General features: G+C 48.1%; 2 protein-coding genes across 12 annotated transcripts in view; one reads left to right on the top strand and one right to left on the bottom strand.

Moving 5' to 3' along the window:
* The first annotated feature begins 576 nt into the window (after positions 1–576).
* On the top strand, positions 577–12,533 carry SLC46A2 (solute carrier family 46 member 2). 2 transcript variants are annotated; one of them, NM_033051.4, is made up of 4 exons: positions 577–1,900; positions 4,040–4,123; positions 4,837–4,993; positions 11,634–12,533. In NM_033051.4, the coding sequence occupies exons 1-4, from the start codon at positions 772–774 to the stop codon at positions 11,689–11,691; spliced, it is 1,428 nt and encodes a 475-aa protein (NP_149040.3). In that variant the 5' UTR covers positions 577–771; the 3' UTR covers positions 11,692–12,533. The 2 variants fall into 2 exon arrangements, with proteins under 2 accessions (NP_149040.3, XP_047279596.1); XM_047423640.1 differs by lacking the exon at positions 11,634–12,533 and having other exon boundaries at positions 577–1,728; positions 4,837–4,852.
* SNX30 (sorting nexin family member 30) overlaps positions 5,684–16,289 on the bottom strand; it is a 136,047-nt gene continuing 125,441 nt past the window's right edge. For 5 of the 10 annotated variants that reach the window (XR_007061307.1, XR_007061301.1, XR_007061306.1 and 2 more), the window contains 3 exons: positions 16,162–16,284; positions 15,524–15,621; positions 5,684–14,334 (listed from right to left, as the gene is read on the bottom strand). Coding sequence is in view for 1 of the 10 variants with exons in the window: in XM_047423393.1 (XP_047279349.1) it covers positions 16,207–16,284 (78 nt within the window). In the remaining 9 variants the exon portion in view is untranslated. The remainder of the gene's footprint in view (positions 14,335–15,523; positions 15,622–16,161; positions 16,285–16,289) is intronic. The other 5 variants (XR_007061302.1, XR_007061303.1, XR_007061304.1 and 2 more) reach the window with 5 other exon arrangements.

Here is a 16,289-nt window from a genome sequence, read left to right as displayed (position 1 = left end):
GCAGGTGTACCAAACAGGACTCTTCTCTAAGAGGCCTTTGGCTTGGAGAAGAGCCTGGACCTGGCGGCTCCCAAGTTTTTACTTCTCTCAAAGTGCTACCCAGCTGCCTATAGCACATGGGCCCCTGTTGCATTAAATCTATAAATAAAACTTCACACCCCAATACTTATCCTAGGCAGAATCCTAGGCGTCCCACCCCTCGCGCAAACCTGCCTTCCTGGGATGGGAGAATTTGGAAACGCTCCCTGAGCCAGTCCTGGGGAGCTTCCTTCCAGCCCCTGCCCCGGTGGTGGGGGGTCCGCAGAGATCCGCGGGAGGTCCGGGCACGCACGCCTGGCTGTGGGGAAATTCGGCCCCGTCAGGCGGCCGCGCTCACAGGAGCAGCGTGACCCGTCGGCCCCGGGGGTGCTGGCGCCAGGAGCCAGCACTCGCGGTGCGCTCCCCCGCGCCTGGCTTCCCTGGACTGTCGCCAGTCCTACTCTGCCTGAGGTGGCGAGGGCAGGGTGGAGCGCGGCCTTTTCTGGCCTGAGGAGGAGTCACTCGGGAGGTCACTCGGCTGCTGGGCGGGCTGCTGTCACAGGCGCTGCGTGCCCTGGCTCTGCTCGCCACTGGCCGGCGCGCTCCCGGCGCACGGAGCACACTCGCGCTCCCGGCGCACGGAGCACACTCGCGCTCCGGGACTGAAACCTGAGCAGCCGTAGCAGCCGAATTTGGGAGCATATCCTTGTCACTGCAGCCAGAAAGCCCTTCGATCCCCATCAGAGAGGTCACATGAGCCCCGAGGTCACCTGCCCGCGGAGGGGCCACCTGCCTCGCTTCCACCCGAGGACCTGGGTTGAGCCCGTGGTGGCCTCGTCCCAGGTGGCTGCCTCCCTCTACGATGCGGGGCTACTCCTCGTGGTGAAGGCGTCCTACGGAACCGGAGGCTCCTCCAACCACAGTGCCAGCCCATCGCCCCGGGGGGCTCTAGAGGACCAACAGCAGAGAGCCATCTCCAATTTCTACATTATCTACAACCTTGTGGTGGGCCTGTCCCCCCTGCTGTCCGCCTACGGGCTGGGATGGCTCAGCGACCGCTACCACCGAAAGATCTCCATCTGCATGTCGCTGCTGGGCTTCCTGCTCTCCCGCCTCGGGCTGCTGCTCAAGGTGCTGCTGGACTGGCCAGTGGAGGTGCTGTACGGGGCGGCGGCGCTGAACGGGCTATTCGGCGGCTTCTCCGCCTTCTGGTCCGGGGTCATGGCGCTGGGATCGCTGGGCTCCTCCGAGGGCCGCCGCTCTGTGCGCCTCATCCTCATTGACCTGATGCTGGGCTTGGCGGGGTTCTGCGGGAGCATGGCTTCCGGGCATCTCTTCAAGCAGATGGCTGGGCACTCTGGGCAGGGCCTGATACTGACGGCCTGCAGCGTGAGCTGTGCCTCGTTTGCCCTGCTCTACAGCCTTTTGGTGCTAAAGGTCCCTGAGTCGGTGGCCAAACCCAGCCAGGAGCTCCCCGCCGTGGATACCGTGTCTGGCACGGTTGGCACATACCGCACTCTGGATCCTGATCAGTTGGACCAACAGTATGCAGTGGGGCACCCTCCATCTCCTGGAAAAGCAAAACCCCATAAAACCACCATTGCCTTGCTCTTTGTGGGTGCTATCATATATGACCTGGCGGTGGTGGGCACAGTGGACGTGATCCCTCTTTTTGTGCTGAGGGAGCCTCTCGGTTGGAACCAAGTGCAGGTGGGCTATGGTATGGCTGCAGGGTACACCATCTTCATCACCAGCTTCCTGGGTGTCCTGGTCTTCTCCCGCTGCTTTCGGGACACCACCATGATCATGATTGGGATGGTCTCCTTTGGGTCAGGAGCCCTCCTCTTGGCTTTTGTGAAAGAGACATACATGTTCTATATTGGTGAGTCTGTCATTCTTGAGGAGGCAGGACATTGCTAGCCCTCTGCATCATGGGGCTGACACCAGGGATGCCATGGTCTGGGTGTCCTAGCTCAGCACCAGGGATTGAACCTGCTACCTAGGAGGCACAAGGGACACAAGATTATATGCCCCTGAGTTTATCTGTAATGTATTGTTAATTAATTATCTATATTGAGAATGAAATGTTACCAGAGTGGTGTTCATGGTTCTGGGCAGTCAAGGAGGTGTGGTCAGTGGTACCTGGAGTCAGTAGGGGAGGCTTCAGGATGGCCTTCAACAGAGGAGATGGAATTGGGTTTCTTCCCCCACACCCCCTTGCCATTTTAAAGGGATGGAATTTCAAAGGCCGAGCGCAGAGGCTCTCGCCTGTAATCCCAGCACTTTGGGCGGGAGGTGGGAGGATCACTTGAGGCCAGGAGTTCAAGACCAGCCTGGCCAATATAGCAAAACCTCATCTCTACCAAAAGCATAAAAATTAGCCAGGTGTGGTGGTGCACACCTGTAGTCCTAGCTACTCAGGAAGCTGAGGCACAAGAATCACTTGAACCCAAGAGGCAGCGGTTGTAGTGAGCCGAGATTGTGCCACTGCACTCTAGCCTGGGTGATAGAGCAAGACTCTGTCTCAAAAAAAAAAAAACAAACAAACAAAAAAAAAAAAACGTGGAGGAGTGGAATTTCAAGTAATTCTACTGAAAAGATCCCTTAATTAAAATCATTTGGAGTCAAGCAAGGGCTTTTTAAAAATGCATTAAAATACTCGGTAAATGCCTTCCACAACCAATGTAATAAATTCCCCAAGGAAGCAGCATTAAGTTTCCATCTGAGGGCACAAGTCAGACAACTATAAGCAGAAAGCTCGAGATGAATGCTCCAATAGAACTTTCTAGAATGATGGAAATAGTTGCTATCCATTCTGTCCAATACAGAAGCCACTGGCTCCATGTGGCTATTGAGCCGTTGAAATGTAGCTAGCGCAACTAAAGAACAGATTTTTAAATTTTATGTCATTGTATTTAATTTAAATAGTTATATGGGGCTAGTGGCTATCATATCAAAAAAACAACTTCAGACAGTTATCTGAGGCTGGCTCTTGGCCCAGGCAGGTCACACATCTTAGAAACACCTAACAAAATGGCAAGGTAACCTCTGGTCACTTCTCAATTAAACAGCATAGGACAGAGTACCCCCTTCCCCTTTTGCCCACCACCTCTCTCTGTGTCTCTCTTTGGGTTTTGTTTTGTTTTGTTTTGTTTTTGAGATGGAGTTTCACTCTTGTTGCCCAGGCTGGAGTGCGATGGTACGATCTCGGCTCACTGCAACTTCCACCTCCTGGGTTCAAGTGATTCCCCTGCCTCAGCCTCCCAAGTAGCTGGAATTATAGGCATGCACCACCACACCCAGCTAATTTTGTATTTCTAGTAGAGACAGGGTTTCACCATGTTGTTCAGGCTGGTCTCGAACTCCTGACCTCAGATGATCCACCCGCCTCGGCCTCCCAGAGTGCTAGGATTACAGGCGTGAGCCGCCACGCCTGGCTGTCTGTCTCTATCTGTCTCTCTTGTGCGTTCTCTCTCTCTCTCTCTCTCACACACACACACACACACACACACACACACACACTGCATCTGGATAATCAATAGAGCTTGAGAATAGAGCTTGAGAGCTATGCAGTGGATGCGTTCATGGGACACATTGCTGGAGGCAATTTGCCAAAGCTCCCGGGACTATCTCCCAGAGATGTTCATTAATGTCAAGGACAGACACTTCTCTCCTGGAGAAACAAAGAAAGGGGCCTTGTGTCACTTTGGTGGTACCAGTTCCACTTCCCTAGTAATCACTCAACTCCACCAGTAAAGACACATTTCACCATCTGTCACCATGTCAACTGTGCCCAGCCACCTTGCAGACTGATATGCAGCATACACAGCAGCATCAGAGCTCAGAGGGTCACAGACTGGTCAAGGGAGGGCGCTAGTGTGCCAGCAGAGAAATGACTTCCTCCAGGTCAAGCCACATTCGGATTGTGGGGAGATGGGGGTTCTAAGAGAGGCTTTTGATAATTTCCTCCTTGGCCCAGGCTGGGCTACAGCAAGGAGTGTTCTTGTGTGATCTCTTTCAGCTCGAGCCGTCATGCTGTTTGCTCTCATCCCCGTCACAACCATCCGATCAGCTATGTCCAAACTCATAAAGGGCTCCTCTTATGGTGAGTAGTGAACAGAATCTCTCTGGAATCTTCTGCCCGGGCTGTTTCAGAGCTGCTAAGCATGAGGCACAGACCTGCAGAAGGCACTTGAGACAGTTCCAGAAGCATCTTTGAAGACACTAGAAACACTGGTTTCCATCCAGGGCACAGAGAGTGGAGACGGGTATAGGAGTGACTTAGAAAGTCAGGCACTGAAAAGCCACAGTCAAAGAAGGATTCTATCGTCCACAGGCCTTGGGAAGATTCAACTAGATAGAGGCAGGATTCCTAGTGAATTGAGCCACACAAAGACTGAGAAGGCACCAGGTGCAGTGGCTCAATTCCTGTAATCCCAGTGCTTTGGGAGGCCGAGGTGAGAGGATCGCATGAGGCTGGGAGTTCAAGACCAGCCTGGACAACATAGTGAGACCCCCATCTCTAAACAAAAAAAATTAAAAATTAGCAGGGCATGGTGGCACATGCCTGTAGTCCCAGCTACTCGGGAGGCTGAGGCAGGAGGATTGCCTGAGCCCAGGAGTTTAAGGCTGCAGTGAGCCAGGATTGTGGCACTACACTCCAGCCTGGGCAACAGAGTAAGACTCTGTCTCTAAAAAAAGAGAGAGAGAGAGAGAGTAAGAAGGAAGGGTCCCCTAAGAACTCTCCAGAGACTCAGCTAATGGGGAGTGAGGCAGGGACAGCAAGGCACTCCGGAGTAACCTCTGTCCCTTCCACAGGAAAGGTGTTCGTCATACTGCAGCTGTCCTTGGCTCTGACCGGCGTGGTGACATCCACCTTGTACAACAAGATCTACCAGCTCACCATGGACATGTTTGTGGGCTCCTGCTTTGCTCTCTCCTCCTTTCTCTCCTTCCTGGCCATCATTCCAATTAGGTAGGATGGGAGCAGCATCTGCTGCTTGGGCTGGGACCCTGATGCTTAGGTCAAGGAATGTTGGACCTTCTCCAGCCCACCATCACTGCATTATTTATTTTCAGCATTTATGCAGTGGGTCCTGAGTAGGCTCTCTCACAAAGAAAAAGTCCTCCTGTTTCCCAACACTAAAAATGTGGCCATTTCAGAATTCCTCAAAATCACAAGTAAGAAACAGGGTCATTAGGCACTGGCTCACTCTTTGGCAGTTTTATAGTGACTATTTACATGAGTTCCGTATACTTCCTTATAATTAGAGGCTGTGATTGGAAACCTTCATGAACCATCAGACCTCTTTTGTTCAGCTGCCTTTAGGTGAAAGTCATCAGGCCTCATTTCAGAGCACAGTTTCTTCCCCGTGCCCTCACAGGGCTCTGTGCTCAGTGCGGCTGAAATCTCCCAGCCGCTGGACTGTGTGAGCTCCAGACAGGGCCTCAGACAATTCCCTTGACTTCTCTGGGGGAATTGTCTCATTTGTAAAATCAGAGCACTCTATGGAGACCACTAGACTAGGTCATCAACAAAATGGAAAGACAGCACTGAATAGTTCTGTCTTCAGCCCTGTCCCACACAAATACAGTAGCAGCCACAAATGCAAGCCATGTGTGTGATTTTCAATTTTCTAGTAGCCACATTTTAAAAAGAGAAAAGTGACAGGTGAAATTAATTTTAATAACATATTTGACATGCAAAATATCATCTCCACATCTAATCCATTTACAAAATGTGTCAATGAGGTATTTCACTTCTTATTTACACTAACTCTTTGAAATCCAGTATGTATTTTACACTTACAGTACATCTAGATTTGGACGTCACATTTCAAGTATTCAGTAACCCACATGTGGGTTGAGGTTCCCATATGGAACAGCACTGTTCTCTTTAGACTGTTAGGCCCTTTTACCACTTCCTTTGAAGTGAGGTTCTCTCATGCTCCTACCACTGCTGCCACATGAGAAAGGAATATATATATATATATACACATATATATATATACACACACAGAATACATGTATCCACAGGATTTGATATAGATTTGCATTTTCAAGGGACCTGCCTAGTAGCACATGAGGACTCTACAGATCAGTAATGGTGGTATAGTAGGCAGCAGAGTAGAAAATAAAGGAAGGCTTGTTCAAGGGGACAGTGATAAAGCTTTTTTGGAATTCTCACATCACATCATATTACAAATCTCGGCCTGAATGGAAAGTTGAGCTTCCTAGGACAAGAGCCGTCAATCATTAGGGCTCTTTGCATTATTTCATAATTGAGAAAAATAAGATAGGAAGACCAAATAGCTGAGACACATTAAAGTATGGATCAGCAGGCATGACCAGGTCTCATTCCTAAGGTGCAAACTGAGCTAGCTCTGTCTTCGAACTGTCCGACCCTAAGGACTTTTCGTGTGTTCCTGTTTTCGTATGAGTCCTGGCTGAATGGGTTGGATTTTAGCTACCATGCAGTGCACACTCCTCAGGAGTCCCAGCCTCTGGCCAAATGAGTAAAGGATGAGTAGTTTTTGCCCGCTTGAAAATTATCCAGTCCAATTTTATTGGCAGTTGGTTAATGTAGTCTCTTTAACCTAAACAAAACCCAAAAATCAACAAAAGGAAAGGAGTCTTACTAGTTCATGTGTGTCATAAAGACATCAAGAGACAAATGAAAGCAATGGGAAGATACAAGTAAGCAACTGATTGAGCGCTTATGCAGGTAAGGCACTTAGGCACACTGTTTCCCTCTGTTGTAGACATTTAGCAATAGAGAGACACGTGCAAACAAAGCCAGATTTTAAATTGACTGCTATCAGGATCCCACCCACCAGAGATTCTGACTCAATTAATCTGCGGTGCAGCCTGGGCATAGGAAATTTTAAAAGCTCTCCAGGTGATTCAAATGTACAACCAAGATTGAGAATCTCTGGTGTAAAGGGAGTGTTTCCATTACTTTCCTTTCCGCAAAGTCACTAAAGAAACGAGATCCTGAAAAAGTTTCACAGCTAGGAGGGGCCAAGGCTGTACCATCAATCTTCAGGGAGAGCAACAGGAAAGACCAGTAAAGCTTTCGAACCACAGGAAGAAAAGCTACATTCCAATGACATAAAAACCCAGGCAGGCATGCCAGAGCAGGGGAGGACTCAGAGGGCAGAGGCTGGACTGGATCACAGTCAGCATCCCCTTCCTCGATGCCAGGAGAGATCCCAGCCTGTTTGCAATCCCAGGGGGCTGTGGCTGCACCTCTTCCTGGTACCAAAGTGAGCCGATTTCATGCCACCGTAAGAACTTGCCCTCTCTTGTTTGCTCTTTAGATGCAATAGGGAGATGCTGAGGAAATAATTGTGAGGTTCTGCTTATCTACAACCCTCTCCCCTCATGCCCTCCAATATACATGCACTTAACTAATGCCTCATTCTTCATAAACAGAAGCCAGGCTGGGCACGATGGCTCATGCCTGTAATCCCAGCACTTTGGGAGGCCAAGGCGGATGGATCATAAGGTCAGGAGTTTGAGACCAGCCTGGCCAACATAGTGAAACCATGTCTCCAATAAAATACAAAAATTAGCCGGGCTTGGCAACATGCGCCTGCAGTCCCAGTTATTCGGGAGGCTGAGGCAGGAGAATCGCTTGAACCCAGGAGGTGGTAGTTGCAGTGAGCTGAGATCGTGCCACTGCACTCCAGCCTGGGTGACAGAGCTAGACTCCATCTCAAAAAAAAAAAAAAAGAAAAGAAAAAAGAAAAAAACAGAAAAGAGAAGCCAAGCTATCCCAACAGAATCTCCCTGTCTTCTCCAGTCCACAGCCCTATGTTCATTTGCATCCATCTTCTTTTTTTTAATGATAATAACAGCAAACTCTTAAACAGCCCTATGTGCCAGGCACTACTTTATTTCATATTTTTAAACTAATCTTCCCAAACAATCCTTTATGGTAATTACTATTATTCTCCCTATTTTGCAGGTGAGGAAACAGCCTCCAAGGTATTAAATAACTTGCCAAAGGGTACACAGCTAGGAAGTGGCAGAGACAGGATTTGAAGGAAGCCAGACTGTCTTTCCCATCCACTACATGCATTGCACCTGGTATCTGGGTGCGGCCTCTCCTACCTCCTGAGAAAGCTCATTCCACTGCTTCATTCTCTCCTGAATTCTTCTACCAGAGCTGACATATGCTCTTCCTCCGTCTCTCCTTCTCTTCATAGTCAAGTTATCCCAAGGCAGGTCTGCACGTGCTGTCTCACTCCCCCACTCCCATTCACTTTCTTCTCACTCCAGTCTGACTCAATTGGTTCCCCCTGCTCAACTCCACCAGAGCTGCTCTCACTAAAGCCACTAATGACTTATTAGCTGCATCCGTTGACCTGCTGCCACCTTCATCTCATATGATTTCTTGGCGACATCTAATGCTGTTGATCACTCTTTCCTCAGGAGATATTTGTCACATGGCTTTCAAAACACCTCATTCTTCTGGCTTTTCTCCCATTTATCTGATAGCTTCTTCTCTACAAACCTCCCATGTAGGAATTGTTTGGGGTTCTATTCTGGGCTGTCTTCTCACTTTACATTTTCTAAGCAACCTAAAGTACTTCCAAAGGTTCATATTACCATTTAAACTTCCAAAATAGGGTTCTTGATACCCTCCTAAGCCTGCTAACACTCCTGTCTTTCCAATCTCATGATCTCATTAAACGGCGGCACCACCCACCGAGGGTAGAAACCTGTCCTTCATCTCCCCCCACCTCCAATCAATCAGGCCTAATATATTGATTCTACCTCCAAAATATGTCTCAAACTTATGCTTTTCTTTTTATCTCTACTGCTACCCCCTAATCCAGAGCACCTGGATGACTGAGTTAGCCTCTGAACCATTCTCCATACAGCCACTCTTGTTCTCCACTCCCATCCTCTCTCCAGCAGGTGGCCAGAGCAAGGTCCTTAAAGTGTGAATCAGGTCATGTCCTCACCTGCTGAAAGCCCTGCACTTGGCTTTCATTGCTCTTAGGATAAAACCCAAATGTTTGGCTGGGTGCAGTGGCTCACACCTGTAATCCCAGCACTTTGGGAGGCTGAGGTGGGGGAATTGCTTGAGCTTAGAAGCTTGAGACCAGCCTGGGCAATATAGTGAGACCCCAACTCTACAAAAAATTAATAAATCAGCTAGGCATTGTGGTGCATGCCTGTAGTCCCAGCTAGTTGGGAGGCTGATGTGCGAGGATTGCTTGAGCCCAGGAGGTTGAGGCTGCAATGAGCAAAGATCATGACACTGTGCTTCAGCCTGGGTGACAGAGCAAGACTCTGTCTCAAAAAAGAAACAAAAACAACAACAACAAAAAATGAATGTCTTACTATGGGCAACAAAGCCCTGCATAAGCTGGCCTGGCCACCCTCTCTCACCTCCTATTCCTGCCATTGACCACCCTCCCCAACCCTCAGCCACAGTCGCCTCCCCTCCCACTCTTCTCCCTTCTCCATCCACAACTTTTTCCCACCCAACTAGTTGTGGTCTTAACTGAAACACCATTTTCTCAAAGAGAATTTTCCTAACCCTTCTCAATCTAAATTAGATCCTTCTATTACATGCTCCCAGAGCTTCCTATATTCTCCTTGGTAGAATGCAGTGATGATGATTTCATGATTAGCTGTTTAATTACACTTGCCCACTAGACTGAAGGCTCCCTGAGGGCAGAGACCATGGCTATTTGGCTCTCCCTGTATCTTCTGTGTTCAGCACAGATCCTAGCATATAAGCAGCAGTCAAAAAGAATTCGTTTAATGAATGCATGCCCTGTCAGAGGGTGTAGCATCTCTCAGCGCTGACTTACGCTGACTAATAAGTCAGCACTGCTGACCGCCCACACCCCAGAGCTGCCTGGGGCTGCCCATGAAGTCAGATGCTGGCCATCGCCTTGTGCCTGTGCTGTAGTGGTCCACAGCAGGGGTCAAGGATCATGTGGCCCTGTGCTGGCTGCTTCCAAGTCTTCACTCTCCACTTGCCAGCCCTGTAATACAATGAGTCTTAAGTACAGTCAGTGCCCCTCCCAGTAGTGCACTAGCACTCATAGAAGGCGGGAAATCTAAGCGTTGGGAAGTGTCTACAAAGTTTCCCTTAAAAGGCTTGGATCTAAGCGCACAACCCATTTTAGCAACTCCAGGTGTTGTTCATCCATCAAGAAGTGCTGCGCTGTAGCTTAGAACCTGAGGATTCTGGAGCTCCAGCAGATGAGAAAGCCCAGGGTGCCAGAGGTTGAAGGACATGCCTAAGTCACACTGATCCAGGACTTCAGTTCAGACCTAATTGCTGCGCATCCATTTATTAAGATAATTTTAAACAATGTAATGGATAAAGGACCTATGGAAAGGCAGACGATGAGGCAGCTAATTCTGCTTGCAATTAGCAAAGGCTTAATCTTGATCTTGAGATATAGATGGGAGTTCATCCTCAGGCAGAAGTGAGATGGAAAGAGATTCCAGGAAAAAGAAAATGTGGATGCAAAGGGCTCATGATGTTATGGGAAATGGAGAAGTTCAGTACTTGCAAGACTGGAATGAACCTGGAGTAAGAGAAGTTCCTTCAGACAATCTCTCCCCACTCAGTGCCATAAATTCCATTCTGATGCCATAAATGGATAAAAAAATTTCAGTCTACCAGTGATAAAGAGATGGCCTAATGGATGGAGAGGAAAAGGCACACCCTTTGTTACAGGACCACCAAGTTCAATTGCCCATTGCACAGTAACAGACTCCGAAAGAGCAGGAGTTGCAGCAGAAAAAAGTGTTTAACGATATACAGCACCTGAACAAGGAGATGGAGGGAAACCTTAAACCCACCTACCAGGGAGGTTGGGGATGGGCTTCCAAGGGGTCTGGATGGGTGATGAGCTAGTGTAGGGATCGCTGATTGGTCAAGAAGTGAGGGGTGAAATCATGGGACAGGGAGATGAAGAAATGGCATTCCTGTGCTGAGTTGGTTCCTTGGTGAGGGTCTTCAGGCTGGTTGGCACTAGCCATTCTGCTGGAATTCAGGATCTGAAAAACACCTTAAGCAATTCTTAAGTAAAAAGGTCCAGTATCAGAGATTCTTTTTTTTTTTTTTTTTGAGACAGAATCTCAGTCTGTCACCCAGACTGGAGTGCAATGGCGCAATCTTGGCTCACTGCAACCTCCGCCTCCCAGGTTCAAGTGATTCTCCTGCCTGAGCATCCCGAGTAGCTGGGATTACAAGCGCCTGCCACCATGCCCAGCTAATTTTTGTATTTTTAGTAGAGTTGGGGTTTCACCAGGTTGGCCAGGCTGGTCTCGAACTCCTGACTTCAGGTGATCCACCTGCCTCAACCTCCCAAACTGTTGGGATTACAGGCATAAGCCACCATGCCTGGCCCCCAGAGATTCTATCTAAAGGAACAATGGGGAAGCAAATGGTCAACATGCTCCTTTTAGCTAGCAGCTGCAGGGAGATGGGTCACAGTGCACCAGCACACCTTGGTCAATGCCTACCTATGATTTTGCCTAAAGCCTGGCTTGTAATTATCATTAACCCTGTGAGGGCAGTTTCACCTTTACCCCATTCCAGCTGTTCTCTTGTAACTCTCTATGGTCAATTCTTACAGCATCGTGGCCTATAAACAAGTCCCATTGTCACCATATGGAGACATCATAGAGAAATGAAGATGCTTACCTGCAGGAACTGAAAACATCAGCCATGGCCAGGCCCCCAGAAGACAAAAGAAGGGACCAGGGAACTGGTGACCTAAGCAACCCACTGCTTAAGAAACCTGCGTTCCAGCCAGAGTTGGCCTCAGAATGACCTGCTCTGGCTCAGGGATCCCTGGTGGATGGGGAAAAGCACTTTCCTGGTGATGGAAAAACGTTCTCAGCTTTAAGACACCCCCATTAGGCAGACACTGGGTTCTGTGACAGCAGAGCATGACCTTAAGGGTTACAGGCAGGCTGCACACAGCAGTCCCAGGCCCTGTGAGGGGCTTCAGACTCCAGCTACAGCGAGCCTGCCCCTTTTCTTCAAGGGACTGTCTTGAGGGCTCCAAAGTATAGCTAACTAGTCACCTGGGTGCTGTGCTGAAAGTCCCATGGGAGAACTCAAAGCGTGCATTATCACAGCCTGAGGGGAATGTGGAAGGGATGTTTTGTAAGAACTACCAACAGTTTTGCACGAACAATGTCTTTTAAATTAAAATAAAACCTTGAAAAAAGTCAGCTTTCTTTCCTGAGTCTTCCTTACCTACAAACACTCAGGAGGGGGATGGAGCTCAGGCCCTTGTCTTCTGGGTAGTTTTGTTACTACTGTTGCTTTTAAGAAGCAAATGTCACAAGGCTTTCTTCAATGGGATGTTCAATTGAGTACTTCCAGTCAACAGTGCTTCCCAAAGTGGGTGGTGTGAAGGAAGAGGAGGTACATTAAGAGCTATTTTATTTGAGGTAGTCATTTTTATAACCTTGTTTACTTGGATTTATAAAAGCAGACTCACCTAATAAAATCAACATTCATTGTATGAGTGTGTGAATCGTTCCTTCCCAGGTCAGATTCTGTCTGTGACTACAGACTTGATGTTCTTATACAGGATAAAATACACGGCTGCAGAATACATTCAAGGTATTTGGGCTCTGAGAGTTTGTATCTCTAATCCTCTTGCAGGGAATGAACAAAACTCTATGACACATCTAATAAGGTCCAGGCCCCATGCTAGGTGCTGAGATACAGAAAGAATAGCACGTGACTGTGTCTGCCCTAGCACAGTGTACTGTCTATCAGGTGAAGCAGACAGAACAGCAGATAGGGATGTCTCCTTCCACTGGGAAGGAGCCAGCACCCTTGCACTGAGTCAGGCAACATGAGCAGAGCAGATGGGATGGGAAAGATGAGTTCAAGAAGTTCAAGATCACGTTCAACCTCTCCAACCTCACTAATATAAGGGAGCACGGAATCCAGATTTGGGAGAGCAGGAAGGGCATCCCAGAAATGACTTCTATGACAAGGCTGGAAGGGTAAGTAGCAGTTACTAAGGCCAGATGTTGGGGGACATTCCAGGCAGAAGGAACAACTTGCTGGAAGGCCTGAAGGTGAAAATATATCAAAGGTTTAGGAATTCAGTGTGAAGGCAGCAGACGGAAGGACAAGTATTACGGAGGACAGTAAGATGAGACTGGGGTGGTAAGGAGGAATAACATAAAATATCCTTTCAAAAGAAAAAGATGTTTCTCTTCAGAGTAAATGGGGATAGCTGTTGGAAGGTGTTAAGCAGGAACACAGAGTGCTTAAATTTGCATCTTAGAAACAGCTCCCTGGCAACACTGAGGACAATGAATTGGTGGAAGGAGTGAGCAAGCTTGAAGAAAGGAGATGAGCTGTGAAGCCCTTGCAGTAAACCAGGTGAAGGATAATGGCAGACTGACTGGCCAGCCTTGGTGGCTCAGGCCTATAATCCCAGCACTCTGGGAGGCCAAGCTAGGAAGATCACTTGAGGCCAGGAATCCAGCACTAGCCTGAGCAAATAGCGAGACCACTATCTCTACAAAAAAAATTAAAATTACCTGGGTATGGTGGTGTGCACCTATAATCCCAGCTACTCAGGAGGCTAAAACGACAGGATCGCTTGAGCCCGAGTTCAAGGCTGCAGTGAGCTATGACTGGGCCACTATACCCCTGCCTGGGTGAGAGAGCAAGATTGCCTCTTAAAAAAAAAAATTAAAGTAAAAAAATAATAGCAGACGTAGGGTAGGAAGCTACAAGCATGGAGAAAAGTAGATGGATATGGAAAAATATTTGGGAGTTAGAGGCTACAGGAGTTGGTTAATGGATGGATGGTAGAGGGTGAGGTAGATGGAGGCCAGAATGACTCAGATTTGGGGCTCAGGCCACTGGGAAAAAGGTAGCGCCCCCCTCCAACCCCAAGAGTCTGGCAGCATGAGCAGAGCAGATAGGATGGGAAAGATGAGGTCAAGACCATGTTCAACCTCTCCACCCTTACTCATCAATATGCTCATTCCCCAACTCCTTACCTTCTGGTCCAGCCTCTTGACCAGCTCCTCAGCCTGAATGAATCTAATCGTTCCTACTCCTGAAAAGCCTCTTACTGTTTAGAGAAATGTCATTCCTTGTCCACATTGACCGTGCTATATAAACTTGTGTTTTTTAACCTGAGCTGAGCTCTCAAAGCCCAAGTATTGGCTCCTTTTCAACTCCAGCTGTCACCAGGGTAGGAGTTTCAAACCTTGTCAGCTTTTCCAGGGTCACCATTTCTTCTAACAGATGTTCTAACCCAGGGGTTCTTGGGCCAGCAGCAGCAGCATCACCTGGGAACCGGTTAGAAATGAAAATTCTGGGATCTCACCCAAGTCAAACTCTAGGACTGGGGCTCAACAATTGGTGTCTCACAAGCCCTCATTTAAGAATCACCATTCTCACCTATGGGGCCCGATTTTTTCTCAAGAATTTTCCCTGAGTCCTCCTTGTCTCCCTGCATCCTTTTTTTTTTTTTTTGACAGTCTTACTCTTTTGCCCAGGCTGTAGTGCAGTGGTGCAATCGCAGCTCACTGCAACCTCCACCTCCAGAGTTCAAGCAATTCTCCTGCCTCAGCCACCTGAGCAGCTGGGAATACAAGCACGCACCACCATGTCTGGCTAATTTTTGTATTTTTGATAGAGACAGGTTTCGCCATGTTGGCTAGGCCGGTCTCGAACTCCTGGCTTCAAATGATCCACCTGCCTCGACCTCCCAAAGTGCTGGGATTACAGGTATGAGCCATTGCACCCTGCCTGTATTCTTAATTCTTGAGGCCTCCAAGGTCCTGTCCTTGGTTCTCTTCCCATGCAATCTAGTCCACCCCCATGGACTCCAGAACTTCATTTCCAACAGCCAAGTCAACATCTCCACCTGGATTTCCTCAAACCTAAAGCGAAACCAAGTTCTCCTTCTCACACCCCACCACCTAAGCTCATTCCATCTTTTTTGATTTTTAATTTTTGTAGAGACGGGGTCTACGTTGCTCAGGCTGGTCTTTAACTCTTGGGCTCAAGTGATCTCCTGCTGTGGCCTCCCAAAGTGCTGGGATTACAGGAATGAGCCACCACGCCCAGCCTCCATATTCTGTCTTTCTCTCCTAATTTTAGCTAATGGCATCGCCTCCAAATCCCAGGCTGGCAATCTTCCAGTCATCTCCGGTCCATTCTCCTCCCCCCAAGAATCTCTTAAATCGGCTATTTTCACCTCCCTTTATCACTTCTTGCCATGGCTTTTGGAATTTATTCCTCCCCATTCTTCAGGCCTTCAATCTGACACCGTCCTTCAGTATTTTATTTCCATCACCTTGTTAAAAAGAAAACAGGGCCAGGCACAGTGGCTTATGCCTGTAATCCCAGCACTTTGGGAGGCCAAGGCAAGCGAATTGCTTGAGCTCAGGAGTTCAATACCAGCCTGGGCAACATGGCAAAACCCCGTCTCTGCGAAAAATAAAAAAATTAGCCGGGCATGGTGGCACGTACCTGTAGCACCAGCTACTCGGGAGACTGAGGCGGGGGGACTGCTTGGGCCTGGAAGGCAGAGGTTGCAGTGAGCTGAGATCATGCCACTGCACTTCAGCCTGGGTGACAAAGCAAAAGAAAAAAAAAAGAATATCCTGTTAAACAAAAAAACTGGCAAAGCATACATGAAGGATTGTTATCCTTAATATTTAAATTGGCCATATCCTTAAGGATAATATCCTAATAGCCTTAATATTTAAATTAGGAAGTCTTTAGAAAGGGGCTATCACAGTGAGAAGCTGCCTGACATTTAAGTGCTTTGCATACCATATTGCTAGTCCTATCGACAACCCCATGTGGAAGTCTTGTTTTCATCTCAAAGATCGTAATACTAAATATTCAGCCAAGTGTGACTTGCCTAAAGCCACATAGCTAGTAAGTGGAAAAGCTGAGATTTGATCCATGATCCACGTCTTATTCAGCTTGCTGCCTTATTTTGTATGACTGCAGTCTTAAAGTAAGTCAAGTTGAGCACTATTTTAAATATACTCAAGTTCAATGCATTACCATCATCAGGTCAACTTAACTGGCCCTGATGCAGAATATAATGTTGTGCTTTGCTATGGGATAACACAGGAAATCTTTCATGTAGTAAATACCTCAGCTGGCTGTCGGCCTGCCTGCCAGTCATGATGGCTACTACACTAGGAAGTTTCTTCATCTCCCCAGATTGGTGCAGATGTGGAAGATGTAGAAGAGGGTAAATTGAGGGTAAACTGGGCCTATA

The sequence above is a fragment of the Homo sapiens genome, chromosome 9 (genome assembly GCF_000001405.40).
Source record: "Homo sapiens chromosome 9, GRCh38.p14 Primary Assembly".
NCBI lineage: Eukaryota > Metazoa > Chordata > Mammalia > Primates > Hominidae > Homo > Homo sapiens.
This window is presented reverse-complemented; position numbering and strand designations above follow the sequence as displayed.